The sequence below is a fragment of the Homo sapiens genome, chromosome 9 (genome assembly GCF_000001405.40).
Source record: "Homo sapiens chromosome 9, GRCh38.p14 Primary Assembly".
In the NCBI taxonomy this organism is placed as follows: domain Eukaryota; kingdom Metazoa; phylum Chordata; class Mammalia; order Primates; family Hominidae; genus Homo; species Homo sapiens.
Window position 1 is genome coordinate 75,852,634 of NC_000009.12, and position 27,621 is coordinate 75,880,254.

At 39.4% G+C, this 27,621-nt stretch overlaps 1 long non-coding RNA gene across 1 annotated transcript, besides 1 other annotated feature; it reads left to right on the forward strand.

Moving 5' to 3' along the window:
• The first annotated feature begins 202 nt into the window (after nucleotides 1–202).
• Nucleotides 203–26,889, forward strand: LOC105376091 (uncharacterized). Its single transcript, XR_929952.2, has 3 exons — nucleotides 203–267; nucleotides 4,741–4,804; nucleotides 26,608–26,889. It is a non-coding gene; the product is annotated as an uncharacterized LOC105376091 (long non-coding RNA).
• Nucleotides 25,232–25,281: a silencer, noted in NCBI's record as "silent region_19956". NCBI's record gives its function as "represses an Ori minimal core promoter by ATAC-STARR-seq in GM12878 lymphoblastoid cells {active_cell/tissue: GM12878}" and the evidence as "EXISTENCE:reporter gene assay evidence [ECO:0000049][PMID:35858748]".
• Nucleotides 26,890–27,621: the final 732 nt, after the last annotated feature.

The following is a 27,621-nucleotide window of genomic DNA, read 5'->3' on the forward strand; positions in this document are numbered from 1 at the left end:
ATTGTGCTATGTTATTAGGACAGCTAGAACATCACTAGGCGACAGGAATGTTTCAGTTCTATTATAATCTTTTATAGTCTATTATAATGGACCATATATATGGCCACTGTCATATATGTTATCATTAACTGAAAAGTTGTTATGCAGTGCATGACTATATTCTGTCGTTGCAGCTTATTGTCTAAAACTATGTCCTTTCTCAGTCCAATACAAGTATTCCCAGCAGTGGTGTCTCAACTATCATCTAGACTGCAAACGTCCTGAGAGGTAAGGGCTGTTACTCAACATTATATCCCCACAGTCCAGCCCAGTGCTTGACTCACAGTAGATACTGCAACAAATTGCTAATTTGAATAGAATTCTCAAGAGCGTCTATGCTAAAAACTTTCCTTCCCTCTTCCTAAATACCACATTAAGAAATATCTCACCAGGCACAGTGGCTCATGCCTGCAATCCCAGCACTTTGGGAGGCAAGGGTGGGAGATCGTTTGAGGTCAGGAGTTCAAGACCAGCCTGGCCAACATAGTGAAACCCCGTCTCTACTAAAAATACAAAAATTAGCTGGATGTGGTGGTGGGTGTCTGTAATCCCAGCTACTCAGAAGGCTGAGGCAGGAGAATTGCTGGAACCCGGCGGAGTGGAGGTTGCAGTGAGCCAAGATCCCACCATTGCACTCCAGCCTGGGTGACAGAATGAGACTCTGTCTCAAAAAAAAAAAAAAAAAAAAAAAAAAAGAAAGAAAAGAAAAGAAAAAAAGAAGTATCTCTACTTTTTCTCTCATTTGTTTCTGGACTTCCAAGTACTGCAGAGGCTCCTTAAATAGATGCAAACTAAAGCCAATACTCTAGGTCAGGAGTGGGCAAACTATAGGGTCAAATTCTGCCTGCTACCAGTTTTTATAAATAAAGTTTTACCGAAACATAACCACGTCTATTTGTGTACGTAGTGCCCATAGTTGCTTTCTGGCTACAATAACAGAGTTGAATAGTTGCAACTGTATGGCCTGCAAAGCCAAAAATGTTTAATATCTGCCACTTTACCGAAAAGCTCGCTGATGCCTGCTCTAGTTTACACTGCAAACCACTGCGCTTCTTAGTTGTGAAGAGAAAAAGAAAAAGAAGCTCTGAAAATTTCCAGGTAGAGAAAGTAATAATATTTGGTGATAATTTTATAATAAAGGTAACCTTTCTTGGTATATTTTACACATATATGTAAAAGCATATTTACAAAATTATTTTACACTTGATTCTATCACATCTGGATGATGTAGGCAGGGCAATTATAGCTTCATTTCACAAATGAAGGAATAAAAAAATTAAGTGACATGTTCTGGGAGACAAAATACTTTTTTAAAAAAATTTAACATCTGTTTGAGTCTTTTCATAACACCTAGTTATTGAACAATAACAACATAAAAAGCAAACAAAAACCCACTCTGCCTTACCCCCTTATTTCTTCTTTACCATTAAGCTGGTTAGTACATGAAGGTCTCCAGTGCTGGGCTTTGGAGAGTTCTGCTTCATAAAAATTTCCATGCTAAAGGCCTTGTGGTCTTATTATATAGGTAGAATTTATTCCATTTAAATTGTTTTGGGCCCCATTTTCTGGGATAGTTCTGTCTGTGCTCCAAAATATATCTGCAGAATGGATAAAGTTGTGAGGGTCCGGTTGCCTTGAGGAAGCTCTCCATCTCAGTATTCTCCTATTGGAGAGTAGCTGTTAGTATATTCTTTCAAATGCTTCTGTAAATGCACCCAAGTTAAATATCGTATTAGAGAAGGCTTATGACTTTTGGTCAACTCACAGGCTCCTGAAGTGTACACAAACAGGCCCATGCATCCATCTCTGTCTATGAAAATAGGACTGTAGCCGGAACAAACTGATGAGAAATCTCATCACAACCTCCTCGTTGGTAAATTCTGAAAGTGTGAGTGATCCCATTTCAGGCACTGGCATCTCCCTAACTAGCCAATGGCTCCTAGTAGTGCCTTAGCAAGAAACTGGTTGCTTATCAAATATATTATATATAATTAGCAAATAGAAGCCAAGACATTTGAGCAGGTCTGCTGTAAACCATTCAGTCATGCAGAAGGAAGGAAGAGGGAGATGACATCTGAGGTAGACAACAATTCAGAGAAAGTTTAGCAGAGTTTAGCAGAGATGCAGCCTTCTTGGGGCAAAAACTAGTCAGCAAAGTTCAGAGTAGTGCTTCTCCAACTTTAGCTTTATAGTGCAGCAGAATCACTTGGAGGAATTACAGGAATCACCTGTAACAGATTGCTGGGCCTCACCCAGAGTTGGCCAGCACTGGGGCTTGATAATTTGCATTTCTAACAAGTTCCCAGGAGATTCTGAGGCTGCTAGTTCAGCGACCACCCTTTTAAGAACCATGCTGTAGTCTAGAACCTAGACTCTAGACCAGTGTTTCTCCAATCTTAATGTGCCAATGAATCAATCTCCCTGGAATCTTATAAAATGCAGATTCTGATTCTGCAATTCTGGAGAAAAGAGGGCTGAAATCTTAACATTTCTAACAAGGTCCCAGATGCTGCTGACTTGGTATATCTGGCCCCAGTAGACTGGATGTTGTATACAGCGTGGGATTCCAGACTGCTCCCTAGAACACACCATTTATTTTGCAACTGCAGTTGGGCTTTTGAAGTTTTTATGAAGTCATAGCATGCTTCAAGACTTTATATTTACATCAAGTATTTTTTTCCTGAGTCCAATGCCTGTCTTTCTTTTTCTTTTCTCCTTCTTCTTCCTTTCTTTGTTTCCTCCATAAATGGAGTTTACCCTCTCATCTTCACCTCTCAGCTGTGAATTTGTTAGAAAGTCGATAAGAGCTCACTTTAGTGAACATAGATCTGAGTCAGGTAACTTAGATTCTGCTTGGGCTGTGGCTCTAAAAAGGTGTAAGATACTGGGCCGGTCACAGAATCTTTCTCAGCCTCAGTTTCCCCAGATTCAAAATGACATGGCTGTTCTAGATGATGTTTAAGGTGCCTTGAAGCTCTCAAAGACTCCATTACGTTAAATGTAATCAAAAGCGCACCAAAAACCAATAATACGTGTGCTGCCACCTTTGGGTGGAAAACATAACTTTAGCTAGACCAGCTACAACTTTGAAACAAAAGACATTTCACTGAAACTCTCCTACCCGCAGGGCCCAACAGAAATGTAATATTTCTTCCATATGATTACAATTCATAATGGCTTCCCTTTAATATGAAATTTCAGACACAAACCAACATAAACTTGATTTTGATGTCATTTACCTTTATATATATTAAAACTTTACAGTTTGATCAATCTTCTGTGGATGTTTTTCCCATCTTAGGAAATTTTCATGGTTTCAGAAAGTCTGAACACTCCGGTTAATAATGCATTCCTATTAAATTATTGATTAGTAAGTAATTGACCAATCCCAAGAATGCACTGTAGAGAAACAGAACAAAAATACTGGCATTGAAATAAGATTAATCTGGATTTGAATTTTTGATCATTCTAGTTCCTAACTGTGCTCTTTAGTAAGTCATTTAACTTCTCTGTGTCACATCTTCTCACCTGTGAAATGAGTGTAAAATACTTCTCTTCATTGTTGAGGGGTTAAAAAAATAATGTTGTAAAGTCCTTGACAAAGTTGTTAACACTCAGTAAGTGCTCAATATGCAGGAGGTCTTACCAAATGGCCACTGCCAGGCAGCCTGTGATGTTGAAAATAAATCAGGCTTTGAAGCCAGAAATTGGTTTCAATCTCCGGCTGTTTTACTTTATGACTTTGCACAGCTCACTGAACCTCTCTAAGCCAGTTTCCTCATCTGTATAAGGATATCAAGACCTTTTGGAATTGATTGAGGATTAAATTCTAATGCTATAGACTGAATTGTGTCTCCCACTGCCATTACCCAGGAAGAGAAGCAAGTGTACATGGGTTTATAATCCACTAAGACTCGTTTCAATTTTTCACAACCACACTTTCGTCCAATGGAAGGTGGACATGACTTTTACTAGGGGAGGACAATCTCAAATCCTACAAAACTGTCTCCTGTCTCACAGGAGGAAGTAAGTTTTGCCTTAAAAGAGAGATATCTTTGGAAGGATTTCCTGCTCAGTGAATCAGAGCCCAGATCTACCAATAAAAGGGTGAATTTGTTGGCATCATTAGTAGTAAGACGAGTGCAGAAGAAAAAAAGGTTTAAGATTCTTTCTCCCAAGTTTTAAAGATCTTCTTTGGCCTCCAATTATATTTCTGACCACTTTTTTCTTGACCCCATCCTTCAAGGCACTTAACTGCCTACCACTTGCCCATACATTCCTCTTTCTGCTCTTTGGTCATCTTGGCCTTTCTCCTGGGAATTATTTTTCCCTAACCTATGGTTGGGACACATTTCTCCATGGGTTTCTCATGTTTCCACATGTTTTGTGAACAGCATTTGTGACAGACTGGTCTTTATTCTAAATCTAGACTGTTTTTCAAAGATATTTGTATAGCAAGCCTTGGAAGATAGAGATTGTGTCTTCCTCAAGAGCAAAGGCATCTACTGCCCCTTGTAAAAGATTTAGTTTCCCTAAACTCAAGGTTTCTCTCCTCTAACAAAACCCCCTGCATGTGCAGGTATTATCTGGCCCTGTTTACATTTCCCTGTGGGAATTAGAACTCAGAGAATGAATATTTTAAAATGCTGATACTCTAACTACTGCTTTTGCAGTGAATAATAAACTATTCTTTCTTTCCAGGAGCCTCATGTCTTCTTACAACATCACATGAAAGGAGCAGGCTAACTTGTTAGCTTCCAGATAGGTAAAATCTCAAGCTTTTCGCCATTTTTGACGCTTATTTTACTCCTAAATACCCAGATCCTACTTATATTTTAAAATTTACTTCAAATGCTTGTGCTTCATGAATATACTCTGGTTAGTTTTTGCTCCTATCTGTAAAATAAGGATGATAGTAATAGTATCTATCAATTTGGGTTGTTGCGCAGGTTAAATGGGTTGATATATGTAAACTATAAGTGCTATAAGCATTAGCTGTTAATATCATTATTTTTTTTTATTCCAGAGAAGTTTATGAAAGGTGACTTAGTATCCTTGGCAAATAACAGATCTAATTCAAATTCTGTTTTTACTTCTGTCCAGCTCTGTGACTTTAGGGAAAGTACTTGACCTATACAGCCCTCAGTTTTGTCACTATAAAAATGAAGATGATAATTCCTGCCATTTCAGGGAGGTTTTAGTAATAAACAAATTATATGTAAAGCACATAACACATAATAGATGTTCAAATAAGCATAAGGCTAAGTTATTATAGCACTTTCTACTTTGCATGCAACTAATCTCCCGGTATATTATTTCCTCTATCAACCTGTAACTTCAATGGAAACAAGAACTCTGGTGAATTCATCTTGATGGCCCTCAAATGCCTAGCACAAAGGAGTCAACTTTTAAGTCATTCATTCATTCATTCAGAAACATGTATTGATCACTTGCTTTGTGCCAGACATATGTATTGAGGATGCATCAGGGACTACTAATGCTAAATAGAAGCAGGAGAAAAAATACCCTCAAATTTCTTTTTTTTTTTCCTTTTTCTGGGGACATAAAGAGAAGAATTTGGAGATTAGAAGTGGGGAAAAACTTGCTTGTATTATATAAGTTTGTGAGCCAAAATGGGAAATTGCTGTATCATGAAAAGCTCATGATTATTGCATTTAATCTTTAGCTTCTTTAAAACAATCTTATTTTCCCCATTGTTGGATATTGGTTAAAATAGAAAAAAAAAGGTCACAAACCTTTTAAACTTTATTCCATGGCTACACAATTGGGTTGATTTGGATGACCCCTCACTTTCTCATTTATTCAAAAATTCTTTACATTTGTAATTTTTCTTATCCAAGCTAGTCTCCCACATGCTGTCTTTCTGATCATGGAAATCAACTTTCTTAAGAAGGCTAACCTCTTGGTTCAAGTGTGGCTGGTGGACTCCACCCCTGGCTGGGTTTTGGCATCTGACGTTGGTATAAAAGGTCTCAGCATTGTAAGTATAGGAAGGGTGGGGGCTTCCCAATGACCTCACCCTTTCATACATGAATAGGTCACTCCCAGATAACAACCACTCTGAAACATGCCAGCCGGAAGGGAAGGGTCAATTTTAGAAAGTCAACAACCCCACTACCCATTCATTCAATCATGGGCCTCAATGCCCTGAGAAAATCATTTTGCTAAACCATGGTTTCACCTACTGTAACATTATGCAAAACACACTGTCATCTCCCCAAGAGATGTCAGGAAAGACAGACAAGTAGCCCTAATTACAATCATATTCGCAACAACAAAAATGAGTATAGATATGTGTCACAAGGGATTTTTTTCTTCTCCCTTGACACTACTATGTATTAAAGAGACAACAGCTAACCTGATATTGCCCTTACTTCTCCTTGCTGGAATTTTATTGACAACTTAGTTTCCTTTCTGTGTTTCTTTATTAACTAAATCAGCACAAAACATAGGCAACAGTAAACATAAACTATTTTTATACATGCAAATTAGTGATAATACCTATCCAGAGAGTCACTTTTCTAATATGGAGTGATCCAAAGAAGGATAAAGGTAGTCTAAATGTCAGGGTCTTCATTTGTTCTCCTATCCTGCAAATGGCCCTCATGTAAGTTTCCTACATTACACTTCCAAACAAATTCAACTCTTTCAACAAGCCTGGCATATAGAGGGACTCAAAAAGTATTACCTGAATTAAAGTGAAATGTATTTGTTAAATTTTAAGGAAATAAAATATACCACTGTCATAATATATCTGGTTCTGGACTTCAGACAGGTCTTGGGGTCACAAGTTGTCACCTTTAATTTCAATAGCTATTTGTTCTACCTTTAAGCCAACTAAGATGGGTCTGCAAAGCTCCAACACCAGCATGTTAAAAGAGTGGCATTATCTACCTTAACGAACAGCTGGGCACACATAATTCAGTAGCAAGAGGTTTCCTGCCATCACCAAGCTCTATTTGTTTTCCAAAACTAAAGGAAAACCTTTCTATTAACAGAGAATGTGTTCTAGTGAAACCTTCTTATTGACAGAAATTTTGCAAATAAATACAGAAATAATATAGGCAGCACAGGGATGGATTTTCATGTAAAATAATTTTTATATTATTAAAATCATTTTCTTGTCTAACTGGTCCATGAATATTCATTGATTGCATACCCTTTCAGGCACTAGAAATTAGGAGATGAAGAAGCTGTGTTGAAGGAATACAGGCTCTTCCAAACCCAGAAGTTTCAGGGAACAAAACAGCAGCTCTCTTCAGGGGGTTTCCCAGGGTAGTGAGGGAGTTTGAGGATATAGAGTCAGAAGATCACCTCTGGAACTCTTTGGCTCTACCCTACCTCAGAGGATTTTCTTGGAGGTGTCCCTCCAGGCTCCCAAGGAGAGATTGAGTTTGAGTTTAATATCTTTCCACCCCAAAAAAATCCTCTTCTTACCTGCTGCTCATTCCTGAAACTCCTTCCATGTGAACATTTTCCTTCTTATCAATTTGAGGTACGTGGAAAAGTGTAAATAATTGCTCGACTGTGGCCTGGACTCCACTTGAAATACAATCAACTTGTCAATGCATGAGCAATAATGACTTCTTCATTTCTTATCAGATCTTTCTTGGGGCACTAGTGTTTCTGATGCCCAAACCTTGTCCTTACCCACCAAACTGCTTGCGTGCATAAGGTTGCGTCCTGAGCTTGACCTCTCTGAGATTCCATTTTCCTGTCTACAAAATGTCTGTCCTCCCTATTATGTGAAGAACAAATGAAATAATGAGTGGGAAAGTGCTTTGGAAGCTGTAGCTGTGGTGCAAACACAGGGATGATGATAATGATGGTGACTACCCCCATAGTGCTTAGCACCCTCTGGCAAGGTTTATGTCTCTTCAACTCCTTACATCCTCAGAAATTAAGCTCCAGGAAAGCGAGCTCTTGATTTTGCTGCCATATCACCAGGCACCCTGTGAGTGGCAAGAGAGTGAATTAATGTTCCATATATGTTGCCAAGAGGTTTTTTCCCCTCCTCTTTTCTTATTCTTTAATAATAACATCATAAGGAGTCTTATCTTCCAAAATTCTTACCAAAATTCAGTTGAAAATTTTGTTAACTTGAGAGTGCTCTTTTTAAAAATTACTATTTGTTATACTCTGCTACTATTGGAACAGAGATATTAAATAATCCTGTTAGCTTCATAAAGCTAGATATGTTGAAAAACATTAATATTGTATTCCCCTTCTATGGATGAGAAAACAGAGTCCAAAGATGTGAAGTTTCTTGGCTCTGGTGTGGTAATCAGTGGCATCTATAGGCTGGCAATTGCAGCTTTTCCTTTTGGTGACACCATCTCCCTCTTCTCTCTGTGGACATGTTGGGTGCCTGAGTATGCCCTGCTATTCAGACTAAGGATGTGAATAAGAATCTATCAAGCTAACTAAGTGGATGTTGTTAGGTCACCTCAAGTGGCATGTGTCAAAGCTCTAGGAATAAAGAGAAAATAAATGGGAATAGGGTTCATGTAGATGGGAAGTCAACCAGGGACAGGGAAGAGAATAAGGTAGGAAGAACTTTCAAAAGCCTAGGAAACCAACAGAGCAGCCATGTATTCATTTAGCAAATAATGAATGCCTACTACATGAATGACTCTGGGGAAACAAAGGTGATTGCCAACCAATTGTTGTTTTGCTTGAAAGATACTACTGTCAAAGGAGCAGAATGAATTGATGGATGAGAACTCACTTCTACTTGATGGTCTCTCTTCAAACCACTTTACAGTCCCCGCCAGATACTTACATGTGTAAACTACAATAAATTGTTATTATTTTATCACTAATACCAGTCTTAGATACATAATTGCCAACTAAATACTGTCGTCTAGTAAACTGAATGGATTGAAAGATGGGAATTCACTTTACCTTGATTATCTCTTGGGCCTGCGACCCAGTAGGGCCACTGGTGTAAGTTCAGGAGACTTATCTCACCTCAAACAAGTTTGTAGTTGTCCCCAGGCACTTAAAAGTACAAACTATAATAAATTAGCAAAAGTGAAGTTTGGCCAGGACCCTGAGGTAGCCCTGGGGCTGGATGTCTGGGTGATAAATGGAAAACTTGCAAATGCTTCACCCCTCTAGACACCATCAAAGCTAATGCTGCCAAGGGCTTCCACAGTACACAGCAATGTTCAGTTTTGAGAGTGCACATGTTTTTAGAACCTGGTTCTTGTTGTCAGATGACAAGAGAGAGAAGCCCTTTTTTTTTTTTTTTTTTAATCATAGGCTGTCTTTGGATAAGAAATTTACAGAAGTCTCTGTCTGGCAGGTGAAGGGGAAGGTTGAGTGACAATGACCAAAATGCATTCTAAGTTTTGCTAAGAGACTTTTGGAAGTCCCTATCCATTCTCCTTTGGGAGGAAATATGACATCTGATTTTAATTTTTTTAAATTACAGAAAATGAAATGCTACATGGAATTGTTGTTTCCCCTAGATTTATATATTTGATACAGGGTTTTAACCCATGACAAAATTCATTTTAAAAATATTTTCCATTTGAAGTTGTTTGAGACTTACAAGAAATTAAAAAAAATAGTACAAAGGCTTCACATATACTCTTCCCTCACCTTACCTCCATGATGACATTTACACAACTATAGTGCATTGCTAATTCACTAGGGCCTGCCTCAGGTGAATTAAAACGTGGCTCATTCCCCAAGGAACTCAAACCTAGTGAGGGAAACAGACCAAGAGTGCAATAAGTCCTAGGACACAGAAACACGCTACTACTAAAGACCAGAGGAGAGGCATTTCTATCAGATTCTTTGTGCAGGAAGACTCCTCAAAGACAAGCCTCACTGAAATTGTAAGGCTAAGTAATCTTTACCCCCGCCCCCACAAGGATCACAGAATATTTGAGGCAGAGGAGCGGCATGTGCTAAGTTTCAGCAATGTAAAATAGCAGGATCCATTCAGAGAATGAAATTAAATCAACTTGGATGGATTAAAGAGTGTGTATGTACTGTGGGTAAGTAGAGGTTAGGGAGAGAAAGAAGGGACAGCAGATATGTCTAGAAAGGCAGTGTATTAGTAAGGGTTCTTCAGAGAAACAGAACCAACAGGACATACACTAAGAGGTATACCTGAAAGAGGATTTATTATGGACATTGGTTCACAGATTATGGAATCTGAGAAGTCCTGTGATATGCTGTCTGCAAGCAGGAGAACAGGGAAGCCAGTGGCAAGGCCTGGGAACCAAGAGAGCAGATGGTTTCATTGGAATAACAGAGAAGGCACAGGCACTATCACTCTCTTAGCCTTGAAGCAGCAGGTCAGATGACATTCTTACATGGTTATGGGCAGAAGTTCATCACCACCTTCTCCTTCTTTTGTAATGATACATCAAGACTATTGAGAGAAACAGAATGCATAGCAAATTAGAAGTTATCCTTAAGTATGAAAAATAAGACCTTATAAGGGAAGCATCTTCTTTCTCTCTTTTTTTTTTTTTTTTTTTTTGACGGAGTCTTGCTCTGTTGCCCAGGCTGGAGTGCAGTGGCGCAATCTCGGCTCACTGCAAGCTCCGCCTCCCGGGTTCACGCCATTCTCCTGCCTCAGCCTCCCGAGTAGCTGGGACTACAGGTGCCCGCCACCACACCTGGCTAATTTTTTTGTATTTTTAGTAGAGACGGGGTTTCACCGTGTTAGCCAAGATGGTCTCGATCTCCTCACCTCGTGATCTGCCTGCCTCGGCCTCCCAAAGTGCTGGGATTACAGGCGTGAGCCACCGCGCCCGGCTGCATCTTCTTCTTTCTTGGTAGAACATTTAATCTTTACCTGGCCATGTCCTACAAGTACTTACTAACTTTAGATTAGTAACCTCTTCTCAGAAGCTCTTCCTGGCGCTCTTACCCCCACCATACACAGAAAGACTGGGTTACTGCCCCTCCTGCATGCTCCACTAGCAACATTCACTTTCTTCCCTGATAGGACCTATGACACACATGAATTGTAGTTACCATGAATTGTAGTTACCGTGAATTGTAGTTACCCGCTCACCTGTTTGTCTTCCCCTTAGGCTGTGATAATACTCCTGGAGGGTAGGGGTTACACATTGTATTCCCAGTGCTTTCCACCTAGGAAATATGTTAAGAAAATGAAGTGTTGTGGCTACAGGCAAGACTCAAGGAACCAATCTCTTCTAAACCAACAATTCTGTCCAAAATCCTGAATTTTCCTGTTGATTTTATATTTTTCACTGAACTAACGTGAACTATTTCTGTTAGAAACATGAAATCCAAAGTGCACATCAAACCAACTGAATGTTTATTTAAAACCAAAAATCATAATAACCTCAGGAGACTTTGAAAACCCTGTGTTATTTCCCAAGAAGAAAACTTACCTGTTGGCGACAATGAGTCGCCAAACGATCTACTTTCCTGATGACCTTGAACAATTATTAGGCATTTTACCAGCTGGGAAGGTTCCAATGTTCAATAAAAACAGATAACCTCTGGCACTTTTTAAAATCTGTGATTTCCCAAGCTGAGCATAACTTCCATCACTGGTGTGTTCTTTATCTTCCTCTTTAAGATGAAAGCTGCCTCTGTGATGTGCACCTACACAGAACAGCTGTTCCAGTTGGCTTTACATAAACAAGCAATTCCCCCAAATCAAGACTTGTTCCCACCAGTGCAGTTAATTAATCTGTCCGTTAATCAACAAACGTTTATCGAAGAGCAGGCACTGTTCCAAGCATTGAAAACACAGCAGTCAACGAAACAGATGAGACCCCTGCCTTCATGGAGCTCACATAATTCAAGGAGTCTGATTGTACTGATTGATGATAAACATACAAATAAAGTTATAAGAAATGTCTGAGGTTACAGAAAAAGGATTTCCTGCCTAAAGGAAATAACAGTTAGGTCTTTGCTTTATTGAGTGACTGGCCCAGGGCCAGAGAAAGCACTAGTTGTAAGGATTATTATTGGAAAAAATTTGTTGTAATTAGGTAAACCAAGTGTTATTAACTCTGAGCTACAGGGATAGGGAAATAGAGAACCTTCTTTGATATGGCATTGGCAGCTATGGGATTTTGCCTGTGGGCTGCAATGGGATTTAACATAGAACTGTACTGTTTGGCACAAAAGGAATTTTCCCCCTTTTTCTGTGTGTCCCAAAGGAGCAATATGAGTTATTTAATATACCTAATAAAGTTAAAACTTGACCAGTTGAAAGGAGATTAGAGCGCATTTGTTTTTCTGTGTCAGCCTGATTAAAGTAACTCATTAGTGGTCAATCCCACTATAGAACCAGATACACAACATGTGTGAAAAGTTATCAAGTCAGAAGACAGAGCTATGGGCTTATTGTCAATAACTCTACCTGCTGGTACCATCTGCACATTTTCTGACTTATCTGTGTACCGCTTGTACTATTACTTACCTAACATTTTTCTTTAAGTCAATTCACTTTTTTACTTAAAAAGCAAATGTGATGGCATTATGGATAGAGAAACCAATATCATTGTTATAAATAGCACATAGTCATAAAAATCAATGCAACAAATCAAGCAATACTATTATATTCTAGCTAGATAGTGTTGCCTGGTGACTGCTCTGATTTTTTTATGGTAAAACCTTTTTTTTTTTGTCAAAAATGAGAAATTGGTAACCGATAGAGGGGTTTTAGAAACATCACAGGATAAGAAGAAGGCATATTCCTTGAGGCCATTAGGAGGGATTAGATTCTCCCTCTGTGAGTCAATGTTGCTTCTATGTCTATGCATAAGCTAAAATAATATCCTATTGTATGAACAGAAAATGCTCCTCTTTGGGAAATATTGAACCAGGTGGCTTTGAGAGTGCCTTCCGGCTCTTAAATGGCACAGTTCTCTGAGACACACTCTCTAGTTAGGAGCAGGGAGGAGAGATGTCATTCACAGCTCTCTTTCAGGTTGCCCACCAAAAGTCAACCAGTGCTTCCTCTTCTCCCAGCCTTCACTCATAGTTCACATCCCATTTTCTTTACTCTACCTGCGGCAGACAGGCCAACCACCCTCAGCCTGGAAAACTCCCTTTCACAACATGGAAAGATAGAGGAAAGAAGAAAGAACCATGGTGAGATCAGTTACAGTAAGGGGGTCTGGGTGATCTGGGACAAATGAAGCGATCACAGCTCCTTAGCTCAGTGCTGAGCTCACATGACACCTAACATGAAGGTACAGTATCTGAAAAACATCTTTTGTAGAGGCAACATGTTGACTCTGGATGGAATGTTTCACTTCTCATACAGATGTTTGGAATCCTACAAACAGTGCCTCCCATTTCCTTATGTACCAGTTTATTCTCTTCCAGAATCATTTGTTGTCAGTTAGACACACCTTGAGTCTAATGTTAATTCTTAGACACAAAACTCTCTACCAAAGGGTCAGGAAACCCCCAGGATTTGACAATGTGCAAAAAAATAAGAGAAACACTGAACAGGCTTGAATTCCTAGGAATCTTTGGAGGAAAGTCAAGACCTTCTTTGTTATATTTGTAGATAATCAATGTTTTCGTTTGCTCTATTGATCTTTCTCAATCGTCTTTTTTTTTTTTTGCTTGTTCAAGCAAAGAATTAGTCACAATTTAATGTAAGTGAAAAAAGTTAATAAGCCTTTTAATCTTTTAAAATTATTTATGAAAGGCCATTTAGTTCTGGGTGCTCAAATGCTAATGTTTGCCTAAATCTTTTCATTAAGACTATGCATAGAATTTCTATTATCTCAGAAAAATGACTCCCTCTTGTGGCAAGAGCAGATTTTGCAGCCAATTCTAGGGCTTTTGAGTTCTTAGGTGCTAAAGAGCTGGGTAAATTCTTAGAAACCCTCATTTTACAGATGAAATAAGTGAAACCCAGAGTATAGGTAATGTATTGGTGTTTATATCTTGTTGGTGATTGAGACAGACCCAGTATCCAAGTCTCCAATTTCCCAGGGAAGGGCTTTTCCCTTATATTTTCAAAAGTTTAAGAAATGCCCTTACTGGTGTGATTTCCAGTCAAAGTCTCTCCTTTCTGCTTCCTCTGAACAGAGCCGGTGGAGAGGCCATTCTCTGTCCAGGCAACATTTTCCTCCATGTGAAAGCTGCTTCTTGGTGGGCTTTCTCAACGAGATAATTAGCCATTTCCCAGAGCTGGGCTCTAAGCTGCATCCCCACATCGGAGAGCAGTTCTACCCATACAACAAGGACTCTCTTCATTTCTCTGGGAACAGCCACCATCTATCATCCTTGGGTACTGCTTTCTGTCTAATTCTCGCTCACTTGGCTTGTTGTGACAATGAGTAGGGCTTTAAACACAGCACTGGGAGATACAGGCGGACACAGCCACAACCCAGCTTCCTATAAGGGTAACCATTGCAACTACTGGAAATACGATAAAACTATCTGCAGCCTTACTTCCTGAAATGTGTTCTGTGGATCAGTAGCATCAATATCACTTGGGACCCTCCTAGAAGTATGAAATAATCTTGTTTAGTAGCACATTCTGATTTAGTAGCCATGGGTTAGAGCCAGGAGCCAAAATTGTGCACTTCTCATAAGCTCTCAGGTCAATGCTGGGTTTTTTTGTTTTTCGTTTTTTGTTTGAGACAGAGTCTCGCTCTGCCACCTAGGCTGGAGAGTAGTGGTGTGATCTTGGCTCACTGCAACCTCTGTATCCCAGGTTCAAGCGATTCTCCTGCCTCAGCCTCCCAAGTAGCTGAGACTACAGGCACGCGCCAACACGCCCAGCTAATTTTTGTATTTTCAGTAAAGACGGAGTTTCACCGTGTTGGCCAGGATGGTCTCCATCTCTTTACCTCGTGATCCACCCACCTCGGCTTCCCAAAGTGCTGGGATTACAGGCATGAGCCACTGCGCCCGGCCTCAGGTCAATGCTATTGATTCACAAATCACAAATTGACTAGCAAAGGTCTACAGCAAAGTAAGTTGCCTACCCAAATTGTAAAGCACAAGTCACAGTTCTGTTTGTTTCATGACTGGGTACAAATTGATAGTCATTCATCAAAGCAAAAATGACAAACTTAGATTTCATAAACTGGTAAAGAGAGCCACCAACAACCCAGCCAAGTAAACTGTGCTCTGCTCCATGTAGATTTTAGTCACTACAGAGTAGGGAGAAAGACACTAATTCTTGGATTCCCAAATATACCCCTCACCCTGCCTGTGCACCTGATCTCTAAGTCTAACATACAACCTCTAACCCACAAGTCAGAAGTTTCTGCTTGAATAACATCAAAGTCTATTGACATGAGACACACTCAGACACAACTGTCTCCCGTGGATAACTCTTTAGGTTTCTATGAACCAAAAGATCTACTCCCAACAAGCCTTCCAGTAAAAGCTGCCATCTTGCCTGTATTGACCAGGAGGCAAAGAAAATCCAGGAAATGAGCCAATTTAGGAAAAGAACAAGGCAACATCAGAGACCCTTGAGGGATACCCATTAGAGGAAGAGGAAGTTGAACAGCCCAAAGAAGACCCAGATATCACTAAATGATTCTGGAGACATCTGAGAGAAAGAACAGTCATAATTTTTTACAATTATTTTTACTGATTTGGAAAATGTAGATAAATGTTTCTCATACTTAATGTTTTTGATGCACTAATTAATTATGGGTGATAGCCTCAAGTTTTCCATCTTTTATGATTAGTAAAAATGATGAGATTTTTGGAAACGCAGCTCTATTGGAAAAGCAGCTCTAATGTAGTTCTGAGTTGATGGTGTAAATAATCAATTTTAGCAAAACAAATACTGGGGTTTCTTATTCCCACTTGAGAAATGCAGGTGGATAAGCACTAAAGCTAAGCAGGATCCCAGGAAAGCCCTTGTGATTATCTTAGGTTAGATTTCCTGGGAAGTAGCCTCTGAGAGGAGATTTCTAGGCAGCTGGTTTACTGGGAAATGCTATGGAGAAACATGCTTGGTAAGCAAATTGGGAAAGAATGAGAAGCAGAGGCCCTTCCAGAGGACTGGGCAGAGAAAAAGTTGACCTGTGATACAGTTGCAGAAGAAAATTAGCTGAACCCATGGGGAGCTCTGAAGCAGGGATGGCCCGTGAGATGTGTCCCAAATTGCATAGGCCAGGCATGGTGGCTCACATCTGTAATCCCAGCACTTTGGGAGGCCAAGTTGGGCAGATCACCTGAGGTCAGGAGTTCGAGACCAGCTTGGCCAACATGGTGAAACCTTGTCTTTACTAAAAAAAAAAAAAAAAAAAAAATACAAAATTAACCGGGTGTGGCGGCACATGCCTGTAATCCCAGCTGCTCAGGAGGCTGAGGCAGGAGAATCGCTTGAACCTGGGAGGCAGAGGTTGCAGGGAGTTGAGATCACATCACTGCACTCCAGCCTGGGGGACAAGAGCAAAATTACATCTCAAAAAAAAAAAAAAAAGTGTCCCAAATTGAGGCAAGGAGGCTGGGCATTTTTACTTGTATGGTTGTTGGATGTGGACCACTGCAGGAGGAGGCATGCAACCTTGAGTGAGGCAGCTTCCTTGGGTTGAGGCAATTCTCAGAAGGGATTCAGGTGTGAAAAAAAAGCCTACAGAAGCTCAAAGAATGAGTGCCTTGGTCCTGAAAGGGTGAAGGGGGAGTATCTGGCCAGCACACCACAGCATCTCGTTGCAAAATGTCCTCTTCTCATTTCTCAATACTCATGACATCTTTCTGTGGTTGAGATTGCTGTCTTACAGCTTTTAGGGTATTTGTCTACAAAAGCAGAATCATTTGGGGCAACTCTTAAAACGTCTATACCCAGTTCCTACTTTCTGATTGAATTGATGTTAATGGTTAGCCAGGGTTGAGCACTCTAGGCCTAATCAAGCAGTTATTCTTAAATCTGAAGGGCAATAATGTCCCTTAACATGTGGGTGCAGTGTCTCAGGATTACATTTGGCTGGCATGGGACAAGACCGTGAGCTATGAATTCCAGCCACCACTGCTCCAAAGGGATTAATTAGAGATGTCTAAGGTGTGTAGGGGAATGAAACAGCCAACATAAACATATACGCTACCACCTCAGTCATGCTGCCATCTCCCAGGACTTTGCAGATGAGTTTTATTGGCCAGATTTTAAACGTTTGAAGCTTATAGTTTGTTTCTTTTTCTTTCTGAAGCCCATAGTTTGTTTCTCTTTCTTTTTATTTTTGGTTAAATGTCTGCCTTTGGATCCTTGTATAAAGGAGACTTTTATCCATCTAGCTCTTGTAATCCCACCAGTTTTGGCTGAAGTACAGTAGTAGTTAGACTTTCATAGCAGAACAAACTATACATGAAGCCTGGTTCAAATCGTATGCCCCTAAACATAACAGTTGTGCTATAAAAATCCACCAATGTCCACCCTTTTCTAAGATGCTAACATTATAAAGTCAATGTTCTTTGGTTGTGTGTTTTTATTTTCCATTTTGTGATTGTGTATGTGTATTTACTTTGTATTATGAAAGTTCTCAAATATACCACAATTTAGAGAGAATAGTACATTTATCTCCTCCTTGTTCATAACCTAACTTCACCAATTATCAATATGTGGCCAATTTTTTTCATCAGTACCTATAATTTCTGTCACTATCCCCCCAAAGAAGCTGGAATATATTGAGGCAAACCCTGGGTATATCATTCCATTCATAAGTACTTCAGAAGACACATGCATTTTAATCTCTGTCAATATTACTAATCGATGAGCATATTTCCTGGCATTGAAATGATATGAACTATCACTCCATACCAGAAATGGTAGACTACAGTATTTTTCATTCAATAAGCAGATATTAGGTACCCAACTCATGTTTGCTGCTTAGGATAGAAAATAGAATTAGACATGGTATTTGTTTTCGAGAGTTTTAAGTTCAGTATGTGTGTGTGTAGGTAGGTAGGTAGGTAGGTAGGTAGATGAAAGAGGCAGGAAGGAAAAGCATAGAGTTGGCTACAGTGCAGTTTGTGACTGTTGTGGGCAAGGGTGGCATATGCTTTGGGAAACACCTTTTGCCAGAGCAGATACCCTGAGCTGAATTTTGAAGATTCATCACCAAATGATGATGTGGAGGTTGAAGTATATTCCAGGCAATGAGAAGAACCCTATGAAGCTCCTAATCTCTAAAGCATGTTAAATGCCTATATGCTCATTGGTTGAAATTGCTCTATTCAGTTAGCTGTCCTAAGGGGGGCCATGTAGCATCACTTCTGACGCCTAATTACAGTCAGCCACTCTGATTCCCAGACAGAATTTCCAAAATGAATTGAGTCACAAAGTAATAGCAGGTCTACTCATCTGTACCTCTTTGACAGCCTGCACCAACTCTTATGTCTTAGATTCATAGCCCAGATAGAAAAATTCTCAGTAGATACTGTGTAGAAGGGGTATAGGTATGAGAATCTGGGCAAATCAGAAGGCATGTTCTACCAAGGGTAACTCAGTATCATAGTCTCTGCACAATATAATGCAATGGATCTATTAGACTATTTGTGTTACTACATAAAAAAGTAGATAAATGATAGAGATAGCACACTAACACAATCAGTTAGATTAACCAAAAGTTGAGTTTTTTTTCTTTTGACATGGAATCCAATTAAAAGCCTTTAGAATATTTGCAGGGAGAAAGTAAAGTAACACTTGCTACTTGATGGTATTCAGAGGTATTTTGGTGTATAATATTTCGTAGACTAAGATATTAATAAAAATAACATTTGCGTGTAATTTTATTACAAAACTGTGTGAAGTAACATGCTAAATCCCTCTTCATAACTTTTTTAATCTTCACAATATATTTATAAGTACATCCTAGAATTACACTCATTTTAAAAATAGAGATGGACAGAAAAAAGTTAAGGAATTTATGTAAGATCACACAAAAAGCAGTAAATCTTGAATTTGAGCCTAGCAGTGTTATTTCCGTGTTCATGGTGTGAATACTATGCAATATACGTTCATTATAGTGTTTTTTACAATAATGTGATTTTCATGTAGAGTGGATTATCTCAAAAGTTATACAAGGAAATTTCAGGAAACCTATTAAGTCATTCTGGAACTTTATGAAACTTACTCTGTGAAAATCATTTAACTCTGCTATCTTATGACCAAAAGGTGGGCCTCTTTCTAGATGCTGATACAGCATTATCTGTAATATGTACTCCAATTGTAAGCTGTTTATATTTCCAATAATGGAGTAATGGTTATACAGTCATACACTACATAATGATATTTCTGTCAACGACAGCCCACATATGCGACAGTGGTTCCATAAGATTATAATGGAGCTGAAAAATTCCTATTGCCTAGTGACATCATGGCCTTGGCAACGTCGTAGCTCAATGCATTACCTTTTCTATGTTTAGATATGTCAATGCTATAAATAAAAATATAAAATATATACATAAACATTGTGTTTCAATTGCCTACAGTATTCAGTATAGTAACATGCTGTACAGATTTGTAGCCTAGGAGCAGTTGGCTGTGTCTAGGTGTGTAGTAGAGTAGGCTGTACCATCTAGGTTTGTGGAAATGCACTCTGTGATGTTCACACAATGACAAAATTGCCTAATGATGCATTTCTCAGAATGTATCACTGTCATTAAGTGATACGTGACTGTATATGTGTGTATATATAATGAATTTGTATGTGTGTATAGTACATTCATATGATAGACTCTTTTGCAGCCATGAAAACACATACTTAGAAATAAGTAGGAAAATAGAAATAATATATTTGAAATATATAAGTGAGCATAACTAAAATATTAGAATAGAATAAAACTATATGCATGTATATATGTGCATATGTATGTACATACAGACATACACGTATATATGTATGCATGTTTATGTATATATTTTATATTTTTATTTATGTATTTATACATATAAATATATAGATAGATATAATTTGTATAATGCCAACAGAGAGAAAGAGAATTAAAAAAAAAATACACCAAGATGGTGAGTAGAGTTTTGTTATTTGGGAGATTATGAAATATTTTTATTTATATTATTGTTTTCCACAATAAACTTGTACTGTTCCAATCAGAAAATGATTTTTTAAAGTACATCTATCTTTCTTGAGCAATACCCACAAGCATAGGCCACCAAAGCAAAAATGGACCAACGGGATCACATCAAGTTAAAAAGCTTCTAAACAGTAAAGGAAACAGTCGACAAAGTGAAGAGACACCGTACAGAATGGGAGAAAATATTTGCAAATGATCCCTCTCACAAGGGATTAACAACCAGAATATTAAGGAGCTCAAACAACTCTATAAGAAAAACATTGAATAATCCAATCAAAAATAGGCAAAAGATCTGAATAGACATTTCTCAGAAGAAGACATACAAATGGCAACAGGCATATGAAAAGGTGCTGAACATCACTGATCATCAGAGAACTGCAAATCAAAACTACAATGAGATATCATCTTACCTCAGTTAAAATGGCTTTTATCCAAAAGACAGGCAGTAACAAATGCTGGTGAGGATGTGGAAGAAAGAGAACCTTTGTACACTGTTGGTGGGAAAGTAAATGAGTACAACCACTATGAAGAGCAGTTTGGAGGTTCCTCAAAAAACTAAAAATGGAGGCACCATATGATCCAGCAATCCCACTGCTGGGTATATACTCAAAAGTAGGGAAAACAATATATTAAAGAGATATCTGCACTCCTGTGTTTGTTACAGCACTATTCACAATAGCTAACATTTGGAACAACATAAGTGTCCGTCAACAGATGAATGGATAAAGAAAATGTGGTGCATATACACGCTGGAGTACTATTCAGCCATAAAAAGAATGAGATCCGGTCATTTGTAACAACATAGATGGAACTGGTGGCCATTATGTTAAGTGAAATAAGCCAGGCACAGAAAGACAAACATTGCATGTTTTCACTTATTTGTGGGATCTAAAAACCAGAACAGTTGAAAACATGGACATAGAGAGTAGAAGGATAGTTACCAGAGGCTGGGAAGGGTAGTCGGGGGCTGGAGGTGAGGATGGTTAATGGGTGTATTAGTCCATTTTCACACTGCTATGAAGAGATACCTGAGACTGAGCAATTTGTAAAGAAAACAGATTTAATTGGCTCATAGTTCTGCAGGTTGTACAGAAAGCATAGTGGCAACCTGCTTAGCGAAGGGGGAGCAGGCCCATGACATGGCCAGAGCAGGAGGAAGAGAGAGCAAAGGGGGAAGTGCCACACAGTTTTAAATAACCAGATTTTGCAAGAACTCACTGTCAGGAGGACAGTACCAAGGTGGGTGGTGCTAAGCCATTCCTGAGAAATCTCCCCTCATGATCTAATCACCTCCCACCAGGCCCCACCTCCAACACTGGGGATTACAATTCAGTAGGTGATTTGGATGAGGACACAAATCCAAACCATATCAATGGGTACAAAAAAAAATAGAATAAATAAGGCCTACTATTTGATAGGATAACAGGGCAACTACAGTCAATACTAACTTAATTCTACATTTTAAAATAACTAAAAGAGTGTACTTGGATTGTTTGTAACCCAAAGGATAAGTGCTTGAAAGGATGGATATCCCATTCTCCATGATGTGATTATTTCACATTGCCTGCCTATATCAAAGCATCTCATGTACCCCATAAAGATATATACCTACTATGTGCCCACAGGCATTAAAAATAAAAAAAGATTTAGGATAAATAAAAGTATAGAAAAAAATTAGGAAAATAAAGTACATCTATCTCTACTTTTGAGGTAATTAAATTTTTGATTGAAGAATGTGTCATCAGTGTAAAAGAATCATGCATTCTTACAAATTGTACTTGTGTTCCAGTGCTACTGTTATTCCATTTGTAGGTTGGGAGGAAAATTTTATGTTCAAATGCTGTGATAAGCATTTCTAGTCTTGTCTTTACTTTGACCCATTTCTAAATGCTTTTAACAAAAAATAATGATATGCCTTCACATATAATGCCTTTCTTCAAGCTCCTGAAGGTCTTTTCTTAATTGATATGTATCTGATACCATTAAGCAAAATGGTCTTTTTAATTTTTTTTTTTTTATGAAGTCTTGCTCTGTTGCCCAGGCTGGAGTGCAAGGACAATATCTCAGCTCATTGCAGCATCTGCCTCACAGGTTCAAGCGATTCTTCTGCCTCAGCCTCCTGAGTAGCTGGGACTAATTTTTGCATTTTTAGTAGAGATGATGTTTCACCGTATTGACCAGGTTGGTCTCGAACTCCTGACCTCGTGATCCGCCCACCTCGGTCTCCCAACGTGCTGGGATTGCAGGTGTGAGCCACCGCACCCAGCCGCAAAATGGTCATTTAGTCCACATTTGCAGAAATATATATATTAAGGTAAGACAGGAGTAGAGATTGCAATGTATTCTGTACTAAATTATCTGCTGTGGTGCAGTGTTACGCAGATTTCTTCAATTTTGCATGGAGTCATACTGTCTTCATGCATACTTCAGTCTCAGAACTGTCTTTTCTTTAAATAATGCAGTGAAAAAATTAAATAATTAAAGTTGCAGGCAAGAAGTATCAAAGACTTTAAACAGAAAAAAAGGGGAAGAGTAAAAGAAGAGAAATGAACACTTTAGTCGTCTCCTATTTAAAGAGAAAACCTCATGAATGAAACCTGAAGGGATGGGAGCAATGGCCATTCTTTGTCAGAAGGGAAATTGGTGATCTTCGTTGACTGTCTCATTTGAGTAGCACCTCTGGTATTATCAACTAGATTGCAGTGTTTCAAGCAAATTTTAAGTTATAAAACTGTCGTTCAGAATGCCTAAATTTATTGGAAACATACTCCTGATCTCTGGTTACTATAGAAGCTTAAAGCTGCATTTTGGAGAACCTCTTGGCAGACAATGTCAGACAAAAATCTTTGCATGGAAGGCTTATAGTAATAGCATTTTCCTGCTCAAGCCAATATATTGACGACTAGGAGATTATTTTGAATGGATTTTAAACATCTCAGGGAACAGAGCAACCTCTCCAGGTCCCTTTCAACTGTTCTCTAATCAACAGTCCAAACCTTCACACCATGCTCAGAATTGACTTCTAAGCTTAAGGGAAAACACAAAGTCATAAAGATTCTCTCTGGTTGAAGAGGGATTCCTTGGTACTTTTCAACCTGGAAAGTTGGAGAATGGTTTGTTAAATTAAGTTTAGCCTAATTCTGCATCCTTATATATTTTAGGTTTGGCCTAAAGGTTTCTGCATACATAGTGAACTGTCAACTAACTGGATGTGTAAACAGGCTGCAACCTACTCTTGTAACAAGTAGCTGAGTCTCAGCCAGTCATGGCAGCCAGTTTCGGTCAATCACGAGCAGCCAACTGTTCAAACCTATTCAAGGAAAGCAAACACTGAGCTGTAGGCAATCCAGTTGTTTCTGTACCTCACTTCCATTTTCTATACATCACTTTCCTTTTCTGTCCATAAATCCTATCCAACCGGCTGGGTGCAATGGCTTACACCCATAATCCCAGCACTTTGGGAGGCTGAGGCGGGTGCATCACCTGAGGTAGGGGGTTTGAGGCCAGCCTGACAAACATGGAGAAATCCTGTCTCTACTAAAAATACAAAAAATTAGCCAGGTGTGGTGGAGTGTGCCTGTAATCCCAGCTACTCAGGAGGCTGAGGCAGGAGAATCGCTTGAACCCGGGAGGCGGAGGTTGTGGTGAGCCAAGATCGCACATTGCACTCCAGCCTGGGAACAAGAGTGAAACTCTGTCTCAAAAAATAAAAATGAAAATAAAAATAAAAATAAATCCTATCCAACCAGTGTGGCAGTCCCGGAGTCCCTCCCAATCTATTCTGGTTTTGGGGACTGCCCAATTTGAGAATCATTCTTTGTTCAGTTAAACTCTGTTACATTTAATTTGTCTAAAGTTTTACTTTTAGTTTAAAGTTATAAAAAGGGCTGGGCACAGTGGCTCACGCTTGTATTCCCGGCATTTTGGGAGGCCAAGATGGGAGGATCACTTGAGCCCAGGAGTTGAAGACCAGCCTGGCCAACATGGCAAAACCCCATCTCTACAAAAAATACAAAAATTCGCTGTGTGTGGTGGCGCATGCCTGTGGTCCCAGCTACTTGAGAGGCTGAGGTGGGAGGATTGCTTGAGCCCAGGAGGCTGAGGCTGTGGTGAGCTAAAATCGTGCCATTGCACTCCAGCCTGGGCAACAGAGCAAGACCCTATCTCAAAAAAAATAAATTAAAAATAAAGGTATAAAAAGTACCTAAAATCTCAAGATTCTTAATAAAGGGCACTGAGAAGTCTACCAAGTATTAGAATCATGATATTTTCACTCTATTCAAACTCAGCTCCCAGCCCATTCTTTCAAGTTTATCTCAAGCTCTATTTCCTCCATGAAATTGCCTAGACCACTCCAGCAGCACTACATCGCTTCACCTCTCTCTTAATGTCAGCACTTGACGTTAACAGTTAAACAAATTAGATACAGTCATGCATCGCTTAATGACAGGGATACAGTCTATAAAATGCATATTTAGGCTATGTTGTCATCACATGGACATCATAAAGTGTACTTACACAAATCTAGATGGTATAGCCTACTACACACCTAGGTTATATGGTATTCTAGGCCACACACCTGTACAGCATGTTACTGTACTGTGTACTGTAGGCAATTGGAACACAATTGTGTATTTGTGTATCTAAACATAAAAAAGGGTTGGGTGCAGTGGCTCACGCCTGTAATCCCAGCACTTTGGGAAGCTGAGGTGGGCGGATTGCCGAAGCTGAGGTGGGCGGATTGCCTAAGCTTAGGCATTTGAGACCAGCTTGGGCAATATGGCAAAACCCCATCTCTTAAAAAATATATATATATATAAAAAGCCGGGTGTGATGGCTCACACCTGTAATCCCAGAACTTTGGGAGGCCAAGGCGGGCGGATCACCTGAGGTCGGGAATTCAAGACCAGCCTGACCAACATGGAGAGACTTCATCTCTACTAAGAATACAAAATTAGCCAGGCCTGGTGGCAGGTGCCTGTAATCCCAGCTACTCGGGAGGCTGAGGCAGGAGAATCGCTTGAACCCAGGAGGCGGAGGTTATGGTGAGCCGAGATCGCACCATTGCACTCCAGCCTGGGCAACAAGAGTAAAACTCCGTCTCTAAATAAATAAATAAAAATAAAATCAAATCAAAATTAGCCGGGTGTGGTGGCACGAGCCTATAGCCCCAGCTGTTTGGGGGGTTGAGGCAGGAGAATCACTCAAGCAAGTCCAAGAAGTCAAGCTTGTGGTGAGCCAGGTTTGCACCACTGCACTCCAGCCTGACTGACGGAGCAAGACCTCATCTCTGAAAAAAAAAAAAAAAAAAAGGCCAGGCACAGTGGCTCACTCCTGTAATCCCACCAAGCACCTTTGGGAGTCTGAGGCAGGTGGATCATGAGGTCAGGAGTTCGAAACCAGTCTGGCCAACATGGTGAAACCCCATCGCTACTAAAAATACAAAAATTAGCTAATTAGCTAAAACCCCATTGCTACTAAAAATACAAAAATTAGCTAATTAGCTAACATTCATTTTCATCCTACAAATGTCTGGGTGCATTGGCATGCGCCTGTAGTCCCAGCTACTCGGGAGGCTGAGTCAGGAGAATCGCTTGAACCTGGGAGGTGGAAATTGCAGTGAACTGAGATCATGCCACTGCATTCCAGCCTGGGTGACAGAAGGAGACTCTGAAAAAAAAAAAAAAACCCACAAACATACAAAAGGTACAATTAAAATATGGTACTATAATCTTATGGGATCTCCATCGTATATATGGTCCATTGTTGACATCCTGATGTGGCACATGACTGTAAAAATCAATTCAAGGGTTTCACCCAATAGCTTAAAGCTTTGTGAAAAATGTGAATTTTATATTAGTCATTGATCATAGCACCCAGCTAGTATTGGCTGACTGACTGACAGATGGATAGACAGATGGATGGGTGGACAGATGGAGGCAGCAAGATTAGCAGACAGGGCCGTAGATTCAGGGAACGTGGTCAGGGCTGAGACAAGATGTGATTCAGTTCACAATATTTATTGGCCCACTTCACTTGTTTAAATTACCTGTCTGGTCTCTCTAGAATTTGAGGCTGCAAACTATTATCTAATTTTTGGAACCTGAGAGACCTGAAGGTTTTGAATTCATCCTAAGGAAAAAAAATTAAAACACACACAACCTTTACTCATGAAGACATTCTCTGCTGTATTATATACACAATAATAAATTGGAAACAATTTACATATCTTACAATAGAGTTTAGTAAATTATGATACATCAACCCAATGGCGTATGGTCATCAAAATGATAATTACAAAGACCATGGAGACATATTTATAGCATATATTACTTCAAAAATGCAGAATATAAAAGTGTATCTGTGGTAAGTTTATAACTTAATAAATATATGTTTGTTTTCAGACCAATACTAGAAAAGAGTACATATATATGAAAATCGTTATTTTTCAGCAGTGAAAAGAAATATCACTACATTTCTCCTTTTCTCAAACTGTTTTAATTTTTTTATTATTCATTCCAGTGAAGATCAGAGTGTTGAAAGACAACCTGTGATGAATATACAGATGGATAGAAAACTTGGAGCAACGGAAGTGTTGGAAGAAAAATGGGGCTAATGTAGGCTAAAGAAATTAAATTTGCCATAAATCTTCCGTTAAAGCTTCTAAACCATAATGAATTTTCCTTGTGGCATCTGCCACCTGAATCCTTCCATTTATGTCTGCATGAACCTTTTTCTGTGTGTCTCAAAGTTCTACCGACTATTATGTGTGTTGGGGATGTGCCTGTGTGTGCCTGAGTTTGTGTGTGTGTGTGTGTGTGTGTGTGTGTGTGTGGTAGTGGTGGTGGTGGTGGAGATGGTGGGGAGGATCCAATTCTTAAAATGCACCTTTTGTCATCATGTAAGAATAGCTCTGATAATAGAAACCACTCATAAAATAAACATGTTACTGGGAATCTTAAGAGAATTCTTTGTAAGAGTGTCTATTGTAATGAATTCCAACAGACTTTGCTATTGTTTCTCATAAAGCTACTGGAATTTCATCACAATCAGCATATTGCAATTAATTGCATCCACAGTTTGTCGGACCTGGATAATTAGCAAGTGAAAAGAAAACCTCTGAATTCGGTCAGGACAGGAGAAAAGCATTTTAGACACAATGAATCAAACATTCACTTTCATCCTACAAATGTCTGGGTAGTGTTGATTTGGATATTCGTCTAGGGACAGAGCTGAGGAATGACTGAACTTTGAGGTGAAGAGAGATGAGAGGAGGAGGTGAAAAGTAACTGCTGCTCGCTGACAGACCCAGGAAGCCCTGAAGAAAGGCTCTCAGCTTTGAATCCTCCAGTCCTTCCTCCTCAATTGACACTGTAAGAACTTTCCAGAATGAATGATTGGCATATGCGCAGGGATAAAACAAAACCACATATCTTCAGCTGGGTGCGGTGGCTCACACCTGTAATACCAGCACTTTGAGAGACAGAGGTGGGTGAATCACCTGAGGCTAGGAGTTCGAGACCAGCCTGGCCAACA